This window comes from Homo sapiens, chromosome 7, assembly GCF_000001405.40.
Source record: "Homo sapiens chromosome 7, GRCh38.p14 Primary Assembly".
NCBI classification, from domain to species: domain Eukaryota; kingdom Metazoa; phylum Chordata; class Mammalia; order Primates; family Hominidae; genus Homo; species Homo sapiens.
Window position 1 is genome coordinate 159,053,983 of NC_000007.14, and position 24,434 is coordinate 159,078,416.

A 24,434-nucleotide genomic window follows, 5' to 3' on the forward strand; every position below is an offset into this window, starting at 1 on the left:
GACTTATTAAAGGCAGGGTAATTATAATAAACAGAAACAGTGCAGTGGCAGAAGGCCAAAGGAGCAGAACCGGGACTCGAGGCCCCCACACATGCCACTGCCTGCTCTGTGAAGAGAAGCATTGCAGGCCATAGAAGCTCCTTCCTGTACCCGCTCCCGGACAACGGGATACACACACTGAAAGCCCTAAAGAAACTTTACCCTGCTTCACACCACAGCAGAAATAACTCACAGGTGGATTATGGACAGAAACATGAAAAGTTAAAATAATAACATCTCTAGATGATAAAAAAAAGAATATGGCAAAGATTTCTTAAGAGGACTCAAGAAACAATGACATAAAGAAACAAATGGCAAATAAGCTTCATTAAAGTTAAGAGCTTCTGTTTATCCAAAGACCACGAAGAGAGCTTAAACTCAGTCACAGAGCTGGAGACAAAATCCGTAATACTCGTATGTAATGAAAGGCTCGAAGACTCCTAAACATTGACTTAAATAGAGGGAGAGACCAAACAGAAAAATGAGCAAACTCATTTTGAAATGGCACTTCAAAAAAAGCAAGATTTTAAAATGTATGAACTCATTTTCCACCAGGGAAATCAGGGAAATGTAAATTAAAACACCGTTCTATGTTATTACAGACGCACAAGAATGGCTGAAGGCTTAAAAATGGACAATACCGAATGGAGGCAAGGTGTGGTGTGAATGGAAGCCTCCTGCCCTGCTAGTGGGTGTGTACACTGGTAACCACTTTGGAAATTACTTGGCAGCATTCATTTTTTAATAAATTTATTTTTAATGGACACACGGTAACTGTACATATTTATGGGGTATACTTTGATGCTTTGATACATATCTATGTGGTATGATGATCCCATCAGGGTATTAGCATATCTACTGGCAGTATTTAGGAAGACTAACTCTATGTATAGCCTATGACCAGTAAATATAAGATAAACACAAATGTAAATATAAATGTGTGTACATATACACACATACCTAAAGTAACATGTGCATCTGTGCATGAGATGATGACTAAGAATATAACAGCAGCATTATTTGCTATGCCTCAAACTGAGTAACCCATATGTCCATGAACAGTTGATTGGATAAATACATCATATTTTTTTGAGTGGAATACTATACAGCAAGAAAATAAAACATGGTAACTCCATGCAACATGGATGAACCTCCTTGCAAAATGCTGAGTGAAAGAACCCAGAGACCAGGAGTTCCTTTTGCATGATTCCGAGGTAACGTTTTCAAAAAGAGAAAAGTTGTCTCTGGTGCCAGAACTCTGAATAACACTGCTTTTCAGGAGAGAGGTGGGGTAGACACCGGGTGGCTGCAGGGTCCCTGGTGAGAGTTGTATCCCACATCTCGATCTGGTGCTGTGTTCGCCTGGTAAACATGCATTCTGAACATATACTGCATTAGCAAACGTTTAGCATATGTAACACTGCCACAGAGCCTTGGTAAGCAAAGAATTGTAAATATGCTCTGAATTTTCTCGGTGTCTTGGGAGCAATTCCAAAGCTGTGTGGCCACTGCGCCAGGCTCACACACCAGTGCCGCTCCCTCTGGCTTCTCCTCAACACCCCTTCCTCAGAAGGCAAATGTCCCCCACCGGTGCCGTTTTGCTTCCCACTGATTCTCTCCTTGGCTGCATTCATCTCTCCAAATCACCTTTTTCCCTCTCTTATTTTTTCTCCTTCCCTCTCTCTTCCACCCCCTGTGTTTCTGTGGAGTGGGGTTGGCACTTACAGCCATTGCTCAGAGATGAGCATGCTTTTGGTCCAGTTAGCAAGCCATCCAAATACATGTTTGCTGGGTTTCTCAGTGATATTCTTCATTACTCACTGCTCGTTTTAAATTTTCACTTCCACGTATGGATCTGCCAATGGGCAATGGAGGTAGTAGAAAGTGTGGCTTCCGGAAAGGGGGACCAGAGTCTGCTCATTAGCAATGGTGGGAAAGGATTTTGGAGGCCACGTCCATCTGACAGTGACAGAGGTGCAGGCTGCAGTGATGAGAGCCTGGGTTGAAATCAGGGCTCTGCGTGCACCAGCTCAGCAACCCTGCAATGTCCAGCGACCTTCCTGGGGCTGCACTCTCCACCTGGAGAAACTGGGTCAGTGGCAGTACTTACCTGATGATGTTAACATCTGTAAAGTACTTGACACGGTGCATATTAGCAGTTACAGCTGTCCCTTGGTATCCACAGGGGATTGGGTCCAATCCCCCTCCCCCAATCTTGCCCCCCTTACCCCATGCCAAAGTCCATGAATGTGCAAGTCCCACATTTGCCCCTTCAGGACCCGTGGATATATGAAGCTGGTCCTCTGTATCTGCAGGCTTCTCATCCTGAGAATAGGCCATACTTCTGATCTGTGGTATCCATCAATACAGAGGGCTGACTGTATTGAAAAACATTCTCAGAGAAGTGGACCATGCAGTTCAAACCCGTGTTGTCTGAGGAGCAACCGTGCTGTGGACCCTGCTGGACTGGCATGGACTGGAACCGTCTCTGTCAGTCCCTGGGTCACAGGGGCAGCTGTCACCATAGGATGACTCCCCTACAAAGCTGGTCCTGTATTTGTTGTGAGCGTCAACACTGCACACTTTGGGATGTGTTCTAAGAAGTAAGTAGCTCCATTTCCCGTGTATAAAATAAGAACATGGCTACTGAAGGCTTTCTTGGCTTATTGGGCTATTTTGGAGAAGAAATGTTCAATGCCCGCAAAGCATTCTGCTTCCTGGGTATAATTACTGAGACAATGGAGCACGTTATTTTTATAATTCGGACTTTAGAATTGACAGACTCTCACAGCTCTCAGGAAGTGGCACTGGACCCTGCTTCTGACAGAAGGACGTGGGATGAGCCCCAAGCCTAGAGCTGCACACCAGCTCTGGACACTATGTGGTCACCAGCAGAATGACATCCAACACAGACATGCACTTTTTTCAGCTCAGAAGTGCCACAGGCAGGTGACGAATGATGCCTACAGATGGAGGGGTGTGTTCTGTGCCCTAAAGGATCAGTGTTCATAGGCGGGATAATTCCTGATGCTCTTGGGTTGCCTAATTAAATATGTCATGCTGTACATATGTGAAGGAAACAGATGTGTGTAAAAAATAGGGATTGTTCAATATAGGAAAATAAGATAAAATTTTCAGATTCAATTTCCCTGGGTCAGCTTACTTCCTTAAAGTTTTCCTCTTTCTCTTTAGCAACTTAAAAATTTAAACATATACAGTAAAATAGTAAACATATATAGTAAATTATACTCTATAAAATATAAGTATAATAGAACAAATATTAATATTGTACCAGATTTTAAAAATAACTAGAATATGATAGGCCTTCCTCACTTTTCAAAGTGCAGCCCTGTATCAAAGGTAGACTTATTCTTTCTGAGAATTACCAACCATAGTTGAGATGCCTGAACAATAAAAAGCATAGCTCAATTACATTTGCTGGCTTTCTTAGCTGGATTCTCAACCACTCCTAACTTGTTTATTTTACACTTCCAAGTATGGATCTCCTAATGGACTGTTGTTAGGGTCTAGAAATATTCCATTTATCATTGATTTTTATCTGACATACTGGCAAACATTTCGATTACATTTTAGCAAAGAGAAATAAAATATGTAGTGATTGATACATAGAATAAGCTGAATAGCCTCCATTTTATTTAGTGCTAATGATACGTAAGACAGATTTAATCCTAATTCACCAGAGCTCTTCCTATAGAGAAACTGCCGTTCTGGGACCAAAACCTCTACCCCCAACCCAAATGAACAATGATTTGATTGGTCAAATCATCTGCACTATGTCATCATTAGTTACCAAGAGACCCACTAAAGATGCAGGTGTGCAGGGGCCATCTCACCTCACTGCCAGGGAAGAGTGGGCAGCATTTAATAAGCCCTCATCACAACCTCACGTGCCATGCTAAGCCCTTCACATCTACCGACACATCAAGTTCTCACAACAGCCCTCTGAAGGGGGCTTCTTAGTCTCCACACATTACAGAAGCACAGACAAGTTAAGTACTTTGTCCAAGGTCACACAGCTGCTAAGAGACTGACCCAGGATTTGAACCCAGACAGCCTGACTCCACCTTCATGCTCTTAAACACGTCGTAGCATCTCTCTAATAGAGCACCTACAGCCAAAACACAGGAGCTTCTGGATGGCAAGGGTGAGATCCTATTTTTTCTGTATTTTCCACGCATTTGCATAATGGCTAAGTATTTAATAAATGATAGCTGAGCTGAGTTCCTATCCAAGGTCAGCATTATCTCTTTACATAATAAATGCAGAGTATTTAAATAAAAATGTAAATGTTAACATCATATTTAATGGCAGCATTCTCCATGGGAGTCTTATTGGCTTAGCACACAGAGGGCTCCAGGCTGGGTGGCGCCTAGAAGGCCTAAATGGAAACTTTGCTTGTCTTGTATTCTTTGCAGAATTACTAATTTCTGCTCCTTACCTGAAGAGGCACAGAATTATGCTTCCTGTTGCAAGAGACATCAGAGAGACACTGTAGCCCAGTGTATAAATGGCCTTCACCAGAATATAAAACGTGATCTACAAAGAAAGAAAACAGATCTGTAAGCTGAGGGTGACCAGCAACACCAGACAACAGGAATGGTTCCAGGATCCAGCCCTGTGCTCTGGCCATGAAGGACTCTTGCCTGCCTGGAAGGCACGAGATAGTCTCGCTTTATAATTCCACCTCCATTTTGAACCAAAAAATGACACCCACAATTTGGAACCTCCACTTTTTTCTTATAATTCATCATGAATGACTTTGGATGGTTCCTGTAAAGCACCTCTGTCTGGAGGGAACACGACCCGCCACCATCAGGGAAAGCAAAGGAAGGAAGCGCTGAGCTAAGTTCAGAAAGAGAGCTCAGTCTGTCTCCGAGGCAGCACATCCAGCTTTCTGACACTCCTGGATGAGCTCAGGTGGACACACAGGTCTGAGTGTGTTAAACACTATTACCTACAGGCACAGGGTGAGGTGTTCCAGACAGAGGTACTTGCCTAAGCCAGAGCCAGCTGCTGAGCTGCAGTATCTTGGGAATTTTATTTCCTTAACATTTCTTGGTTTAGCAAGGTCCATGGCTTGATACTTTTAATCTCCACGAAATCATCAGGTACAGGAGGGATTCATGATCATCATGGTGGCAGAATCACAGGGAGTTCTATGACAACAGGGAATCCTACACAAAAAGAACTGGGTCCTCTAGAAGGAAAACCAGTGCCTGTTGCGATAAAAACCAGCAACACCTGCAGGGCATCATCATCACTCGCCACTCCCAAAGGCCGCTTCCTGGTCTGCATTTTCTTGATAAAGCTAATTCCTATAAAATAAAGAGGGAAACAATCCACGTGTGCTTATGTGATGAATTTTATTTTTGTCAAGAGGCCCTAAGTCCGTATAAGTACAACCAAACCTCACTGTTATTTTGCAATACAAAATTTAAGGCAAAACTCAGAAAGTTATGCTCTTGTTTATTAGTTTGGCTCTTAAGTATAACTTTACTGTTTAATCATTTAGAACATATTAACCCATTTACTTTGCATTGCAGGAATCTCTTCTTGGGAACCTCGGCCCTGCTTACTTAGGACAGCTCAGAGAAGAGCACAGAGTAGTCCTGGCCAGATCCCTTCTCCTTGCTATTCCTCATCCTTCCCGACTCCACTCACGAGAATATGTCATTAACCACCACCCTCACCTCACCTAACCACCACTCTCAACTTATCTAACCCGTACTCACTTCAACTACCACCCTCACCTCACCTAACCATCACATCACTTCACCCAACTACCACCCTCACCTCACCTAACCACAAGTCTCATCTAACCCATACTCCACCTAACCATGACCCTCACCTCATCTAACCTCCATTCTCAACTCATCTAACCATCCCCTTCACCTAACCACCATCTCACTTCACCTAACAGTCACCTTCACTTCACCTAACCACTCTCCTCACCTTATCTAACCACCACTATCAACTCATCCAACCCATCCTCACTTCACTTACCCACCACCCTCACCTCACGGAACCCATCTTCACCTCACCTAACCACTAACCTCACCTCACCTAATCACCACCTTCACCTCACCTAACCATCACCCTCACCTCACCTAATCACCACCTTCACTCACCTAACCACTAACTTCACCTCACCTAATCACCACTCTCAACTTACCTAATCTGTACTCACTTCACCTAACCACCCCCACTCACCTCGCCTAACCATCACTTCACCCAACCACCACCCTCACCTCAAGCCTCATCTAACCCATACTTCACCTAACCATGACCCTCACCTCATCCAACCACCATTCTCAATTCATCTAACCATCTCCTTCACCTAACCACCATCTCACTTCACCTATCAACTTCACTTCACCTAACCACTCTTCTCACCTAACCACCACTCTCAATTCATCTAACCCATACTCACTTCGCTTACCCACCATATTCACCTCACTTATCCATAACTCTTACCTCACCTAACTGCCACCCTCACATCATCTAACAACCACCTTCATCTCCACCTAACCACTTTACTCACTTTATCTAGCCACCACCCTCACCTCATCCAACACATACTCCCTTCACTTACCCACCACCTGACTCACCTCATGGAACCCATCTTCACCTCACCTAACCACTAACCTCACTTCACCTAACCACCACTCTGAACTCATCTAACCTATATTCACTTCAACTAACCACAGCCTGCACCTTACCTAACCCACCCTCACCTCACCTAACAGCCACCCTCACATCACGTAACCACCACCTTCACTTTGTGGTGGAAAGCAGTTTGCTGATTTCTCAAAGAACTTAGAACTACCATTCAACCTGGCAATACCATTACTGGCTATAAACCCAAAGGCACAGAAATCATTCTAGCAAAAAGACATGCCCATCAACAGCCCTATTCACAAAGCAAAGACATGGAATCAATACGTCTCCATCAAAGGTGGACTAGATGAAGAACATGTGGTACATACAGAGCATGGAATATTACGCAGCCACAAAGACTGAAATCACGTCCTTTGAAGCACCATGGAGGCAGCTGGAGGCCATCATCCTAAGCCAATTAGCACAGCAACAGAAAACCAAATACCACGTGTTCTCGTAAGTGGGAGCAAAACACGGTACTCAGGGAGGAGAAATGGAGGGAGAAACGGAGGGGCAAGGGTTGAAAAACTGTTGGGTACTATGCTCTGTAGCTGGGTGGCGGGATCAGTCAGACCCCAAACTTATCATCATGAAATATATCCAGGTAACAAGCCTGCCCATGTGCCCCCTGAGTCTAAAATAAAAGTTGAAAAAAAAAAAAAAGGCTGGGCTTGGTGGCTCACACCTGCAAAATCCCAGCACTTTGGGAAGCCGAGGTGGGAGGACTGCTTGCTCCCAGGAATTTGAGACCAGCCTGGGCAACAGAGTGACACCCCCGTCTCCATAAAAAAAATGGAAAAATAATTAGCCGGGTGTGGCTGTGTGTGCCTGTGGTCCACAGCTACTGGGGAGACTGAGGTAGGAGGATCACCTGTGCCAGGAAGGTGGAGGCTGCCTAAGCTGTGATCACACCACTGCTCTCCAGCCTGGGTGACAGAGCGAGGACCTGTCGCAAAAAAAAAAGTTAAAAAAAAGAAAAAAAGTGAAAAATAATCCATACTTCCACCCTTACTCATTCAGCAAGTATTTACTGGGCGCCCACCAGGGTTGAGAAAGCGGGAGAAGCCGACAGACAGGAAAGACGGCTTTCTGGATCTCACGCTCAGCGGGAGGGCGAGCCGCGGCGGAGTACCGGGATCAAGCTCGGTGCGCGGCTGTGCGGGGAAGCCAGGCCGGCTCGGACGCACTGCTAGCGGGAGAAGCCTGCCGCTCTGGGATCCCGGTGGGAGGGGAGCGGCGGCCGCGTCTGGAGTCCATGGCGGGAGGGCGGAAAGCCTGAAGCCTCTAGAGGAGCCCCGTCCTGAGAAGCCTGGTCTTGCGGAGCCCCATCCCGAGGGCCCTGCAGAGGGCGAGGTGTGGGGTCTTCAGGCGGCGGTGTGGCCATGGGGCGCCGGCGGGTGTGAAGCAGACGAGAACTGGCCGGATCCCAACAGGGACTTGATGGGGGGCCCGCGGGCCTTCCCGACGGAGACGGGAGAAAAACAGGGCAAGGACACCCCGAAGGGTTCAGCCTGAGCCCCGGCAAGTCACAGCCACAGCAGCCCGCAGGTGAGAGAGCAGCGCCAGCCTCGGGCTCGGGTCTGGGGGTCCTGGCGAGGTGTTCGTAATTCGTGGGTTTTTGGTCTCACTGACTTGAAGAACTAAGACACGGACCCTCACAGTGAGTGTTACAGTTCTTAAAGGTAATGTGTCCCCAGTTTGTTCCTTCTGATGTTCGGACATGTTTAGAGTTTGTTCCTTCTGCTGGATTCGCGGTCTCGCTGGCTTCAAGAGTGAAGCTGCAGACCTTCACGGTGAGTGTTACAGCTCTTAAGGCGGCCCCTCTCTGGAGTTGTTCATTCCTCCCGCCCAGAGTTACTTATTCCTCCCGGTGGGTTTGTGGTCTCGCTGGTCTTAGGAGTGAAGCCGCAGACATTCCTAGTGAGTATTACAGCTCATAAGCGCAGTGCTGACCCAAAGAACAAGCAGCAGCAAGATTTACTGCAGCAAGATTTATTACAAAGGGCAAAAGAACACGACTGCCACAGCACATAAGGAGACCCAGTGAATTGTCTCTACAGGCTCCGGCCGCCTGCTTTTATTCCCTTATCTGGCCCCACCCTCATCCTACTGATTGGTCCATTTTACAGAGAGCTGATTGGTCTGTTTTACTGAGAGCTGATTGGTCCGTTTTGACAGGGTACTGATTGGTGCGTTTACAATCCCTGAGCCAGACACAAAAGTTCTCCAAGTCAACACTAGATTAGCTAGACACAGAACACTGATTGGTGCATTTACAAATCTTGAGCTAGACACAGGGTGTTGACTGGTGTATTTACAATCTCTTAGCTAGACATAAAGGTTCCCCACGTCCCCACTGGACTCAGGAGCCCAGCTGGCTTCACCTAGTGTATCCTGCACCGGGCCGCAGGCGGAGCTGCCCCCAGTTTTGCGCTGCGTGCCCGCAGCCCTTGGGTGGTCCATGGGACCAGGTGCCGCGGAGCAGGGGGCGGCACTTGTAAGGGAGGCTAGACGGTGCAGGAGTCCACGGCGGGGTGGGGGGAGACTCGGGCATGGTGGGCTGCAGGTCCCGAGCCCTGCCCTGCGGGGAGGCAGCTGAGGCCCCGCGAGAATTCGAGCACACTGCCAGCAGGCCGGCACTGCTGGGGGAACCCGGTGCACCCTCCACAGCTGCTGGCCCGGGTGCTAAGCCCCTCACTGCCCGGGGCCGGCAGCGCCGGCCGGCCGCTCCAAGTGCGGGGCCTACCGAGCCCACGAACTTGCGCTGGCCCGCAAGGGCCGCGCACAGCCCCGGTTCCCGCCCGCGCCTCTCCCTCCACACCTCCCTGCAAGCTGAGGGAGCCGGCTCTGGCTTTGGCCATCCCAGAAACGGGCTCCCACAGTGCAGCGGCGGGCTGAAGCGCTCCTCAAGCGCGGCCAGAGTGGGCACCGAGGCAGAGGAGGCGCCAAGAGCGAGCGAGGGCTGCCAGCATGCTGTCACCTCTCAGTGGGGTCCAGGGGTCTTGGGGGGATCTGGGGTTCCTGGCGGGTCGGAGGGCCTGGCGGGATCTGGGGGACCTGGCGGGGTCTGGGAGTCCAGGTGGGGTCTGGGGGTCCTGGTGGGGTCCGGGGGTCCTGGTGGGGTCCGGGGGTCCTGGTGGGGTCTGGGGGGCCTGGTGGGTTCCGGGGGTCCTGGTGGGGTCTGGGGGTCCTGGGGGGATCTGGGGTTCCTGGAGGGATGTGGGGTCCTGGTTGGATCTGGGGGGCCTGGCGGGGTCCGGGGGTCGTGGAGCACCCGGTGCTCACACCGGGCTGGGGTTCAAGAGGAAGGTCTAGGCCAGAGGCGTCCCCTGAGACTTCCTCAGGCTCAGGCAGCACTGAGGCCTGGGGCGTTCACCAAGAAATTCAATGACAAAAACGCCTCTCATGTGATTCTGGATGGGGAAGCCGCGCCCGGCGTGGGTGGGCGCGGAGGGAGCAGAAAGGAGGCGATGCGGCTGCTGGGGTGGGAGAGGGGCGGCCCCACGCGCCGGGCCAGGAGGGCTCCTTCTTCCCGCATTTCACGGGAGCCCCGGTCCCCTGCCCCGGAGCCACTGGGGCCTGGCTGAGGCGACCCTGCACCTGGGCCCCGTGGGCTCGAGCGGGTCCACAGAGGACCCCCGGCTGCCCCTCTGTGCAGAACCCTCCGGGACGGGACCGTGGCGGGGAGAGATGCAGGAAGGGATGGAGACGGAGTGGAATTGGCGGCTCCTGAGGCAGCAGTGTCCGGGTTCGTTGTGAGTGAGGATGATGGCGGGGTGAAAATGGACGAGACCAGAACTGTGGTCTCAAGTCGGGGCGGCCAGCTGGGTGCTGGGCTGAAGGTGGCAGCAGCCACCCGCTGTCGGGTGGGGCTTCGAGGTTGTCAGCAGCAGGAGTACAGGGCCTGGGTTTGGGTCCTGGGTGCAGTGGCACAGAGGCCGGCCAGGCTGCTCTCTCGAGGCCGAGCAGTCGGTGCTGACTGAGTCCTGCCAGGTCAGCGTCCAGTCCTGAGGCGCATCCAGGGCCGTCTGCTGGCCCGGCCTTCGCCCCAGCTCTGGCACCACATGACCCGGGGCCGCCTGTGCACAGCTGTGTGCTGGGGCACCGACCCTCCCTCCTTCAGTCCCTGCAGAGGCCTCGCCTAGAGGCCCGGGGTTCCATGCCTGGCAAGACAGGCTTTGATGAAGTGTGGAGGAAGCTCCTGTCTCAGCTTTGCAGGGGCCTGATGTTCCCCACGTAGACTCTGCATCGCCACCTCTACCGAGAACCTGCCCACCTTCCAGAAGCAGGCGGTGGGAACTCCGTGGGACTTGGAGCCATGGCGGGCCCACTGCACCGCTCTCTGAAAGCTGGGAGGGCGGAAATCACAACACGGTGTTGGAACCCCACACGATTCCTCCTGGACTAAGGCTTTCTTGGCTCTCCTAAAGGCTTGATCCCTGGGGAGTGGAAGATCTGAGAGCTGAGAGAGAAGTGTCTGGATGTGTCTGTGTTTCTGAGTTGTTCTAGGATCTCAACCCCTGGATTTAGAAAGCCTTGGACAGCGTCATGCTGCTGTTCCCTCTGCCCGCCCATCTCCCTCCCTCCCCTCCCCTGCAGTGGCTGCTACAGGAGGAGCCCGCAGGAGACGGGGGCAGGAGGGCGGCCACCCCAGGCTCTGGCCCTCCGTGGCTGCTCAAATACGTCAAGCCCTGGTGTCTCGGGTCCCTTCCCTGCCCCTCTGGCCAGGGTTCCGGCTTCCCGTGGCTGGAGAGTGGAGGCTGCACAGTTCTCACAGGGCTCCGTGACTGCCCAGACCTCTGTAAGGATTCTCTGCGTTTAAGCTCTTTTCAGTTTTATCCTTGGCGTGTGCCAGCAGTGTCCTGTTTGAACCCTGAATCGACACACTGTTCCTTGCATGTACAATAACATTTTTTATGAACTCAAATCCCCATAAAAAGACCATCAGATTGACCAGGAAAATTTTTCAACACTAAGGTTTTAGAACTTGAGATCGCACAGGAAACGAGAAGACATCAGGGACACAGTTATTGAAAGTGCTTTGCTCCTCCGGTCTCAGAAACCCTCCGCCCAGAAAGTACCCTGGTTTTCTGTGGCCCGTGGCCCACGTGTAGTTACGTTCTCGACCACAGTGTCCACTACAGAGTGCTCAGGGCTGACCCACACATTGCGTTTAGGGAATGAAAGAAGCCACACAGAGCACAGAGCTGTGAGGTTTGACCTCCCCTGAGACAGAAAACGCAGGTGAAGCAAATTCATTTAACCCAACATGTGTTAGAGATTAAAAGAGGGCTGCTGGGGTAGGTTTTCCTTTAGGGGCCTGCTCCCGCACTGTCCATGGGATTCCACGATGCCTGCTCCGCAGCGTCCGCGGGATTCCAGGATGCCTGTTCCTGCAGCGTCCGTGGGATTCCAGGATGCCTGATCCCACGTTGTCCATGGGATTCCAGGATGCCTGCTCCCACACTGTCCGTGGGATTCCAGGATGCCTGCTCCCGCACCGTCCATGGGATTGCAGGATGCCTGCTTCCACACCGTCGGTGGGATTCCAGGATGCCTGTTCCTTCACTGTCCGTGGGATTCCAGGATGCCTGCTCCCGCGGCGTCCGTGGATTCCAGGATGCCTGCTTCCACAACGTCTGTGGGATTCCAGGATGCCTGTTCCCACACCATCCGTGGGATTCTAGGATGCCTGCTCCTGCAGCGTCCAAGGGATTCCAGGATGCCTGATCCTGCAGCGTCCATGGGATTCCAGGATGCCTGTTCCCGCACCATCTGTGGGATTCCAGGATGCCTGCTCCTGCAGCATTCTGTGGGATTCAGGGCACCATCCCGTGGATTCCAGGATAATTGCTCCTGAACCCTTCCATGGCATTCTGGGAGGCCACTTGGCCTAGTTGGACAGCCTCTGCTCTGGGATGGCTTGGTGGACCAAGCAGATTTGTCTGAATTGCTTCCACTCCCTGCATCTTTGTGGTGCAAGAACTAGAGCTCAGTGATGATATTTCAAGGCAAGTTTCCCTATGCTCATTACTACTTACAAAGCCTCAGTGGTGGGCTAACACATTTTAGAAAGACAATACTGATAAATACTTAGCAAGAAAACTAAATTTGTTAGTATAACTCCTCAAATAGTTCAGGTAATCAAGGTTGACATCAATTTTGATCTGGGAAACTAATGTATTAATACAGTTTTAGAAGGGGGATTTTTTTGCCTTGTTAAACCTCAGTAGGAAAACCAAGATCCACACTGAGTGGAACTCTCCTGTGAGTGGGCACTGGCGCTCTCCAGCACGTGCCTGCCATGTGCGGATACTGAGATCGAAGTTAATTAAACTTACGTAAAATTGACACGCCAGTGACTCAGTTGCACCAGCCATATTTTGGTGCTCACGGTCACATGTGGCCAGTGGCTGCCACACTCGACAAAGCTCAGATAAAGAACGTTCCCATCAGCGTAGACAGTTCTGTTGGCACAGAGACCATACGACCACCATTCACCCACACGAGCACCTTCCCTCTGTTAATCAACATTTGCATGTGTGTATTTTCCAGTCTCACATAAAGGGCAGCCAAACGGATGCTCTGACCCATTTGAAAGTCATCACCTCTGCTGTGCAGCTATAGGATTTATTCCCAACACAGAGCTCTGGATTCCAGGTGTGTGGGGGCAGGTCCATGGGCAATGCCCAGAACTTATAAAGCATGATCTATTTGAACAGCACTAACCTTTCCACCAACGGCCCAGAACCCAGCGTGCATGAGGAGCTGGCGCCGGCCTGACACCTGGAAGCTACACTCATCCCATGAGCTCAATGCTTTCAGATTTCCTCGCAACAAGAAAATGCTCTGCTCAATGTGGGTATATTAAATCTGAAGAATGTACAATAGCTCTGATCATTACAGGATTCTAAAAACACCATGATTTCCTACTAGAAAGAAAGAATAATCCAGCAGGAAGTGTTCATGATCAGAAAGGGCCTAAACTAACAGCTGCAATTCCAGGGAGTGGCTCGGTCACAGCAGAAGTTAATTCCAGCACTGATGTTGGAAAGAAGGATTTGAAAGACCTTCAAGTTCTTTCCCCGGAACCAAGATCCTGTCGAGGCCAAGGAGAAGGGTGAAAGATAATCTCATAGGTTCAAGGCTATCACTTGGGCTTGCCTAAAGGAAGCAGGTACTTTGCTGCTGTCACTTGCAATGGTTTGTGGCTGGGCAGAGCCACTGTCAGGGCAGGAAGGGCAGGTGCTGCGGGGGCCGCTAGCCCCTCTCTGCAGAGGTCCTTCTTGAGCAATCCAGGCTGCGGCTCCTGCATGCTAACCGCTGGGGAGCTGCCCATACCCAACTCCAGAAGTGAACAGCAACCGGCTCAGAAATTTAAAAACACTGAGGCCAGTGGTGTGTTTACTGAAAATATCAAGCACGTCCTAGAACCTGGCCTTAGATACGAGTATTACTAACCCTGCCCCAACAGTGTGTAGACAGTGTGCCAAGACCCAAAGCAGCAGGTCCTCACTTCCGTGAGGGGAGAGTCAGCCCAGCCCCAGGGTTCTTGCCTTTGGGACTCAAGGCCTTTTAAAAAAACAGCCCCTCTCTTTTCACATGTTTTTCCTTTAAGGGGAATAGAACTAATTAAAATCTGTCAGAGAAATCAAGCACACTCAGCATTAATGGCAAAGCCATCTGACCCCAAACCCAGTGCTCTTTCCCCTAGAACACCATCAGCAGCCGTGACCCATTTCTAATTAGCCAACAGCGAGGGCTCAATGCAGGAAGAGGGTTCCCACACGGCCAGCCTTCTGTGTTCCACAGCGTGTGTGTTTAGAAGTGGGTTGTCTGTTCTCTTGTTCAATTCTGAAGTCAGCGCAGACAGCCCTGGCACCCACGACAAAGCCTGCCGGGGCCAGGACAGGCCTGAGTGTGAGGGAGAAAGCAGATCCCGCTGTTGGCTGCTGTGACGTTTGTTGTAGGAGTGGCGCTTCTGGACGGCGGGTGCAACAGCACGGCCTCAGAAAGAAGGCAGGGTCTGAGGAGGGTTCTGAAGGCGTCTCCACAGCTGTGACTGAGGCCACTGTCTCCTTTCCAATTTCCTTTCTGAGACATTCCCATGGGGAGCAGAGTGGAATGGCTGCTCTTCACCAATTATCTTGTGATCAGAGTTCAGACTAAACAGTCAGAAAACAGTGTTTCAAACCTACCAAAAGCATAGAAAACAATATAAGGAAGACACGCAGCTACTAACAAACAGCAGAAAGAGAACTGCACAGGAATAAAATCTCAGTGGGTGCTGGCAGGCCCCTGTCTCTGGGCTGTGCAGTACTACGGCCTTAGGCTTCACTGAGCCGCGTGAACCGTTCTGGTTCTGGTACCTCACTGGGCAGCCTTAATCTGCAGGTACTCCTCACAGGGCTTCCATCTCCCCACAGGCTCCTGGCTGTGCGGTGTCCACTCCACCTGTCTCCAGTTTCACTACCGCCTCAGCAACTGTGCTCAGGGCTCATGGGGGCCTTTCTCCCTGCTCACTTTTTCTTCCTGTCAGTTCTTCCTCCTGTGTCCAGTTTCCCCTGAACTACCTTCTCCAGGCGCTCCGAGTGAGGGTTGCTGGCTGGGGACCCTGCCAGTCCCTGCTTTCTGGAACCCACGTGCAGTCTGGCTGGGTATGCACTCCTGGGAACGAACGGCTGTAGGCCCCAGACAACAATGCACCTGCTGCACTCCTCCTCACGTGTGCGGAATCCATCTCTTGTCTCCAGAACTTTCCAGACCCACCACAATTGTCTGGCCAGTTATTTCCTTTTATTCACTGTATTTAGGGTCTTCAGGCTTTTTGAATCTGAGGATTGGAGCCTCACAAAAACTCTGGAAAACCTCTACTAAGCCTGTGACTGGCCTTGGTCAATCCTGGTCTCCAACCCTGTTTTCTGTCCCTCTCTCTGCCTGCACCTGGGCTGGTTTCTTTGTACGGATCCTTCCTGGTCCAGAACCCTCTTTGCATCATGTCTAATATGCTGTTTAATGCATCTGCTCCATTTTTCCCCCCAAATAAGGGAAACTAATGTAACCCATACTTTTTAGAGTACCTTGTTTCTGGTTCACACTTTCACCCCCAGTTCCCCCTTTTAAAAAACATTTTAAATGCATTTATTTCCTTTTGGTGCCTGATGATTTCCTGAGCTGAAGATTGGGTGTAATTTTACTGTCTGTCGTTGGCTGATTCTTGTTCATGGTGCTTTTTCCTTCTGTAGTTTGTCAACCCGGAATGTGAGCTGATGTTTGGAGTTTACCCATGGGAATTTTGTGAGGCCTGGTGGACATTTCCCTCCAGACAGAACCTGTTTGCTTTGTCCGGTACCTCCAGGGCTGCCCACTCAGCAACAGCCAACGCCAAAGTCTCAGCTCAGGGCTTCTGTACCGAGGGTAAAAAGGAACTTGCCCTTTAGGAGGGCATATTCATCGTGAGATTCCTGGGAAGGACTTTAAAAATCTTCTTTGTGGAAAGCAAAGGCATATAAGGCAATTTTTCCTGCTGTCCCGGGGTCAGATTCCAAGCAGCCGCCCCTGCATCCAGGGCTGCACGGAGGACTCCGCACACGACCCAGGGCCCGGTGCTGCCACTGCGGTCACTCTGGTTCTCAGCTCTTTTTTTTTTTAGATTTTCTTACTTTCTTGAAATCCCAGCTACACATTTTAAAGGATTATTGTTATGTTTGATTTAGCATTTTGGGATGATTTGTGGTGGGAGTTGTTTATGCCCAGTTTCTCATGTAAGATTTGTGTTTCTTGCTGAATGTGTTTGGTATCCTTGGTTAGTTTAATTCATTCTATCCAGGACATTCATGGACGCTTAATAGGATGCAGACAGCACGTCAGGCGTTGTGGGAAGCACGGCCGCTACTGACAGAAGGGCCCCACAAGTCACTCGGCCTGTACTTCACCACAGGAAGTTTGTTTTGGGAACTGTCCCAGAAGACAATAAATGAGCTAGAAAGTGAGATGAATATGAATTAAAATTTGTGTTTGTCTTCACTAGAAGAATAGAAAGGGCTACATTGCAAATTATATTAGTTTGCTTAAAGCTGGTTTTGATTTTACACATCCCGTGCTTTCAAGCATTTAAGAAGGCTTATTTGGTTTCTTGCAAAAATGCCTCCATTAAGGTCTTGGGGAAGCAAAGCAGACTGTGCGGTGAGTGCTGAAGCACACGCAGGTGGGAAGGTCCCATCAGAACCTCAGCAGCGTGGCCCAGCAGCACACGAAACGGCACGCCCACAGACTGGCTGACTGTGGCTTCACCACGCAGGTCATTACCGGCAAGAAATCCTTCCTGTAGTCAGTTTTTAAAAACATGAGGCAACTCACAAGAAAACCGCCAGGCTACTGTGTTGCAGGAGGTGGGTCGAGCAACTTCCAGGGTTTTTCTGGGTTGCACAGACATTCATTCAACCTCCTGTAATAAGCACCAATGTTTAGAACATGGTCATGAGGAACTGTGCACACTTTTCCATCTTCACTGTGAGGTGAAGTTTATCTTCATTAGAGGTGGCCAAGCCAGCTCAGCAGTTTCAAGAACTGCACAGAGGGTCTCTTCCTAGGAGGCCTCTCCCTCTGGACTCCAGAACCTTCCCCGGCTCAGCCTCCCATCTTGGCTTCCTTCCTCCTGGGTCCCCAGGCAGACCCTTGGCCTTGGACCACTCAGAGAGTGCCTGTCCCCATTTGGGGCCTTCAGAGAGAATCTTGGCTCTGAGCATCTCCCTGGCACTGGCTTTTCCATGGGCATCGCGTTCTGTTCTTCATGGTTCCTCAGTTGTGCCTGGAGCTCGGACCCACAACCCCACCAGCCTCATCCCAAGGCCCAGGCCCCCTCCTTGTCCAGAACAGGAGTTCAATTCAGCGGTAATGAGTGAACCCGTCCATATCAGAAAGACTGTTCACAGGAGAACAGGTGCAAAGAGTTTTCTCTTTAACTTTAGATCCAGAGGAGACTTCTGGTAAACTAGAATTCATAATATACAAAGGAGCCATGAAAAGTGCAGTCACACCGCACACAGCATGGCCGGGAACCCTGCAGCACCTGCTGGATGAAGGCACGATGGTACCGGCAGGTAAGAAAACACACATTGCTAGACTAGCAACAAAATCCAGAGTCCCATGTCTCTAGGCTGGGAACCCTGCAGCACCTGCTGGATGAAGGCACGATGGTACTGGCAGGTAAGAAAACACACATCGCTAGACTAGCAACAAAATCCAGAGTCCCATGTCTCTAGGCTGGGAACCCTGCAGCACCTGCTGGATGAAGGCACGATGGTACCGGCAGGTAAGAAAACACACATCGCTAGACTAGCAACAAAAATCCAGAATCCCATGTCTCTAGGCCGGGAACCCTGCAGCACCTGCTGGATGAAGGCACGATGGTACCGGCAGGTAAGAAAACATACATCACTAGACTGGCAACAAAAATAAAGAGTCCCACGTCTCTAGGCCGGGAACCCTGCGGCACCTGCTGGATGAAGGCACGATGGTACCGGCAGGTAAGAAAACACACATCGCTAGACTAGCAACAAAATCCAGAGTCCCATGTCTCTAAAGCTTACAGAATGACACTTATGACTATAAAATTTTAAAGAGCAAGAAAATTAACAGTCAACTTATTTTCCAAATAAACTCAAAAAATAAAATTAAAACTAGAAAAACAGTAAACATCTGAAAAAGAGAAAATGGTAACATTTCAAAACATTGTCAAAATTATGGTCAGTGGCATAATTAGAGCCTTAAATACCTTTCTTAATAAGAAAATAAAGCATTCAACTAAAAAAGCCTGAAAAATGATAAAACAAGTCAAGGAAAGCAAGAAGAAGGAAATTATAATAACAAGAGCACAAAAACGAAAGACACAGAAAGTTACCTCCTTCCTGGACGACAGGCCCATGAGGCCCTGGGCCTTGGTTTTGTAATTATTGATGTATATCCAAAATGCCCAGAACAGTGGTTGGCACACAGGAATACTCAGGAAATATTTATTAAGGAGAGTAAGTTTTAAAAAATGGTCAGATTTACAATAACCCACTTTTTTGGTATAGCCTAATAGAGTAGATTATTTATGAAATATCAAAACAAGAAAAATAATGAGGAACATTATTTTACACATTTTAATTAAAGTGTGATGCACAGCTCTGTGCTAACAAAGTCAAAACTTCAACGAAATGGTAACATTCTGGGGCTGTAAACATTTCCAGAACAGATTTAAGGAAAACCTAAAAACACCAATAACCAGAAGAGCTATTTTTTTAAAGTCTGTGAAATATAAGTTGTAAAAATGTTAGTGAACCCAGGAGTTTTCACAGGTGAGTTCTTTTCATCTTCTAAGGTACACATTATTCCTAGGATATAAAAATTGTTCCAGAACATAGTAACAAATAAAGAAAAAGCACAACATCTTATTTTTAAAGCTAGCATAAGTCTGATGTCAAAAGCAGACAATATACTGAAATAAATAGTAATAACTACAGAATAATTTCACTTACAAATACAAAAGGAAAAATCTCAAAATATCAAGGATAAAAGAAGATCAGTTTAGGAGTATACTAAATACACACACCTCAATCAAGTAGATTTTCCCCAGGATGCAAAGATGACACATGCTTGCAATTAGTACAATATATTGCATCCATATGTCAATGAAAAAAATGCTTATCCCAGTTGATATTCACTTGTCCTTGTTTATTTATTTATTGATTGGAGACAAGAGTCTTGCTCTGTCACCCAGGTTGGAGTGAAGTGGCCCCATCTCGGCTCACTGCAGCCTCTGCCTCCCGGGTTCAAGTGATTCTCATGCCTTAGCCTCCCGAGTAGCTGGGATTACAGGTGTGTGCCACCCCACCTGGCTAATTTTTGTAGAGACAGGGTTACATCATGTTACCCAGGCTGGTCTTGAACTTCTGAGCTCAGGCAATCTGCCTGCCTTGGCCTCCCAAAATGCTATGATTACAGGCGTGAGCCACCGTGCTCAGCCTATCCTTTTTTTTTTAATTGAATAGAATTATAATTTCTTAGGTCTCATTAGAACAATTCCTTTCAGGCACAGGCAGTGCCACATGGAGTGGGGGAGCCCCAGGGCAGAACTCTACACCTCTTCTGGGCTGTGGAGCTGTCTGTCCATCTAAGGGAGACGTGGAACCTTTTTTTCTACAGGAAGAAAATGCACACAGGCATGAGTGCACAGACAGACAACTGTGCACACAATTCTGGGGGCTGATGGAATCAGAGCCCTGACTAGAAATTTCTCATTAACATTAGCAATGTCCACTCCTGCTTCTACCACAAAATGTTTTTCACATTTTAATCAATAAAATAAAACATGCAAAATGAAATTTTTTACACATTAGAAAAGAAAAAAACAAAACTGTTGCTTGTGGATCATGTAAGTCCATACTCAGAAAAATCAAGAGAAGTCAACAGAAATAATCAGTAAAACTATCAAGTAAATTTAATCAGGCCTCATTCAAAAGAGCTGCACAAAGTGTAAAATATCTAGGAATAAACTGAGCGGAAAATGTTCTGGGCCTAAAGTGAGGAAACTGAAGCACTTCCCCAAGCAACAGAAGAGAAATCCAAATAAAAGGGAGACAGACCCATTTCTGTGTGAAAGACTCAGCTTGCTCAGGACGCCATTTCCTATGTTGAAACTTAACTTTTTGGTGATGGTATCAAGAGGTGGGGCCTCTGGAAGGTGATCAGTTTGTGAGGGTGGAGCCCTCATGAACAGGGTTAGAGCCCCTTGTCCCTCCACTGTGTGGGAGCATCGTGAGAGGAAATGTGGCCTTACCAGACAAGGAATCGGCTGCACCTTGATCTGGGACTTTGTAGCCTCCAAAGCTTGAAAAATAAATTTCCATTTTTCATAAGTCACCCAGCCTATGATATTTGGTTACTGCAACGTGAATAGACTAAGATAATATACTATTAAAAATTGTTCTTATGACTAGAAATCTATAACAACTTGTTTTTCTGGCTGGGAGCAGTGGCTCATGCCTGTAATCCCAACACTTTGGGAGGCTGAGGTGGGAGGATTGCTTGAGGCTAGGAGTTTGAGACCAGCCTGGTCAACACAGTGAGACTCTGTCACAATGAACAAACAAACAAACAAAAACCCAGATAAAAAAAGAACTCGTTTTTCTGAAGCCAATAGAAAGAGACCAAAGAACATGTAGGAAAAACTGGGTACCCATTATGCTCGAGGTGCCATGAGACAGGTAACTTGGAACAGGAGTGTCTCTATGTCTATGAAAAGTGAACTCAATGAATACCTTATTTAGCTGATATTTAAATAGCTTGGCTTGGCTTTTGGTGTAAAGACAGGCTAAGAAACCTCTTGTTCTGTTAGCCTTAGACTACATGACTACATGTGGCCTTTGCAGATGCTTTTGAAAAGTTTAGGATCCTCCCATTACCACTGTTAAATAAGAATAAAAATGGAGGCTAGAACTGACCTTTGCCTGTGAGTCAATGGCCTACCCTCAGCTCAGCTCAAAATCTACAGATGTCCATTTACCCACTTAAACTGTAAACCAATTTTGAGCTTTATTTCTTTGTTGAAACACCTCAGCACATTGTAGCCAATTAGTGACCCAGGTAATTTACTCAACCTAACCAATGAGAATTAAGCTTATGAACTTCCTCTTTCATAGCATATAAACCTTGCTGTAACCATGAGACAAGCTTCTTACCAGTTTTGGCTTTGAAGTCTCCCTATTTGCAAACAGTTTGTTTCTCACTCAATAAAATCTTCATATCATATTTTTAGTGTCAGGAGTGGGAACCAAAGAAGACCCCTGATGAGGGTTGAGGCCAGTGAGGAGCCCAGGGCTGGCACCCACGGACCCACTGCATCAGGGAGTAGCCCAGGGCTGGCACCCACGGACCTGCCACATCAGGGAGTAGCCCAGGGCCAGCACCCAAGGACCTGCCACATCAGGGAGTAGCCCAGGGCTGGCACCACAGACCTACTGCATCAATGAGTAGCCCAGGGCCAGCACCCACGGACCCACTGCATCAGTGAGTAGCCCAGGGCCGGCACCCACGGACCCGCTGCATCAGTGAGTAGCCCAGGGCCGGCACCCACGGACCCGCTGCATCAGTGAGTAGCCCAGGGCCGGCACCCATGGACCCGCTGCATCAGCGAGTAGCCCAGGGCCGGCACCCAAGGACCTACTGCATTTACTGCTTTCTCACGGGCCGTGGAAGTCCAGGGTAAGTCTCTAGGATCCAATCTCCACACCCTTTGTGTTGAGCTTGCCCATTTTCTTGAGTAATCTTTGTTGAACCTTCTTGGTGGGTCACCCTGTTCTGTACAGAAGTGGAAGAAACAGCTGAACTGTTTTGGAACAGCTGTTCATGTCTGGGTAATTTAAGGCAAAGATGGGTTCCACCTGGTCCAAAATCCTCCGTGGGCCAGGATCTTGTGCGTTTTTGGAAAAATGGGTAAACTTAAAAAAGGATAATTTGGAACTGCCATGGCCACTTTGGGGAACCTTTAACATTTACATATTAGAAAAGAAAAAAACAAAAATGTTGCTTGTAGATCGTGTAAGTCCATAAGTAAGATAGATCAGCTTAGGGGTGCCCTTGAAGACAGAGGATCTTCATCTTTTCAGAGACAGTGAAATGCCTTCTTTGTTATGCAGAAGCTTCTAAAAGACAAACTGATTCTCCAAAAGTATCCTTACAGTGCACAAATGAAAAATCTTTAGTAAAAAAGTCTTTAGCCATTTGAGCAAATTATTTTGTCTGCCAGAAACACAATTTGGATCCAGCTGTTCTTTTATAAACTAGCAAGTTTTGTATTATTGTACCAGACACATGACTGAAATTTCTAAATGGAAGCTGTAAGATCTCTGTCTATCTCTATCTTTATGACATGTGTATTTTTTTTTAACCTCTGGATGGCATTTCCAAAATTAATGTATAAAATAGCTCTATTTAATTGGCTCAAAGAAAAATAAGCACTTGTATAAGTAATTCTAAAACTTTCAGAAAAACAGGAATTTACTCAAATGTTTTTTAAGTTCATGTGACACGGATAATCTTTGGTGAGTAAGAATATCGTTGGTTTAGTTTTTTTAAAAAAAGAAAAGGATATACCTTCAGAGTTGTCAATATTAGTTATAATACAGACATACAACTTTTATTACTAGTTAAGTTATCTCCATTTTACAAAATTGTGCAAGTCCATGGCTTGGTTGCTTAGCCTGGAGTGGCTTTTAAAAGTCTAATCTGAGACTCCTTATTACCAGACAGTTTCAATGAGTAGAGATTGACTTTATGGAGCTAATAACCCCTTTGGTTATCACCAAAACTTTGACTGGAATGTCATATTTGAGAATGTGCATTGAACCACTATCCTTGATGCAGTTACATAAATGATCAGTCCAAGTTTAATGAGATTAGACTGATTTTGCAAACAGATTAGTCTTAGTATGATTATCTTTGGTAGGAATTGGGGTGACTGAAGAGACAAAAGTTGTGTTCTGGTAGAAAACTACAGTGTACCTGTTATCAGATTCTAGCCCTGTTCAATGTCTTTGAGGTACTACAGTGTGCCTGTTATCAGATTCTAGCCCTGTTCAATGTCTTTGAGGTATTATAGTGTACCTGTTATCAGATTCTAGCCCTGTTCAATGTCTTTGAGGTACTACAGTGTGCCTGTTATCAGATTTTAGCCCTGTTCAATGTCTTTGAGGTATTATAGTATGCCTGTTATCAGATTCTAGCCCTGTTCAATGTCTTTGAGGTATTATAGTGTAACTGTTATCAGATTCTAGCCCTGTTCAATGTCTTTGAGGTACTACAGTGTGCCTGTTATCAGATTCTAGCCCTGTTCAATGTCTTTGAGGTACTACAGTGTACCTGTTATCAGATTCTAGCCCTGTTCAATGTCTTTGAGGTACTACAGTGTGCCTGTTATCAGATTCTAGCCCTGTTCAATGTCTTTGAGGTATTATAGTATGCCTGTTATCAGATTCTAGCCCTGTTCAATGTCTTTGAGGTACTACAGTGTGCCTGTTATCAGATTCTAGCCCTGTTCAATGTCTTTGAGGTACTAAGGTGTACCTGTTATCAGATTCTAGCCCTGTTCAATGTCTTTGAGGTTTGCTGTGTACCTCTAACCTGGACTGCAACTTGAGTTTTTCCTTTTTCCTCCAATGTCTGGCTGTGACTTTCGAAATGAACATTTCCAATTTTCCCTCACTCTTCTGACCTGGAATCACAAGAAATAAAACTGCCCTTTCCCTCACTCCCTGCAAGTTGAAACTGGAAAATTTGATATAAACTTCAGAGAAATCGCTGCCACAGTTCATGCATGGACAACATTCATGCCTGTTCCTGTGTGGGCCACTTAGAGAGCTCATTGGAACACCTGGTGATATTGCCTGGGACATTCAAACTGCAAATCAGGAAAATTGTTCACATTGAAACTTCCCCCCCTCATTTTACCATCTAAAGATAATTCCAGCTCAAATCTATTAAATCTCAACTGGCTTCCCTCTGAACTGAGAGACTGAGTTTATAATCTGTTCCAACTAGTAACCTTTTTTTTTGTTTCCATAGAAATATCTAACAAATACCTGATTGCTCACACCACGTAGAAGCCTAATTTAGGAGGAAGCTTTCCTGTAGCACTGCTTCCTGAAATGAGACATCCCCATGTTTATCTTGTCTTA

At 47.7% G+C, this 24,434-nt stretch overlaps 1 protein-coding gene across 4 annotated transcripts in view, besides 1 other annotated feature; it reads right to left on the reverse strand.

The window, feature by feature from the left end:
- The window catches only part of VIPR2 (vasoactive intestinal peptide receptor 2), a 116,693-nt gene that overhangs the window by 25,808 nt on the left and 66,451 nt on the right, over positions 1-24,434 (reverse strand). For 3 of the 4 annotated variants that reach the window (NR_130758.2, NM_003382.5, NM_001308259.1), the window contains 1 exon segment: positions 4,499-4,596. The exons of the other annotated variant lie outside the window; for it this stretch is intronic. Coding sequence is in view for 2 of the 3 variants with exons in the window: in NM_003382.5 (NP_003373.2) it covers positions 4,499-4,596 (98 nt within the window). In the remaining variant the exon portion in view is untranslated. 4 annotated transcript variants of the gene reach the window in all.
- Positions 3,995-5,194: an enhancer, noted in NCBI's record as "BRD4-independent group 4 enhancer chr7:158850668-158851867 (GRCh37/hg19 assembly coordinates)". NCBI's record gives its function as "activates an origin of replication core promoter dependent on BRD2, P300/CBP, MED14 and CDK7 cofactors, and independent of BRD4, by STARR-seq in HCT116 cells {active_cell/tissue: HCT116}" and the evidence as "EXISTENCE:reporter gene assay evidence [ECO:0000049][PMID:35650434]".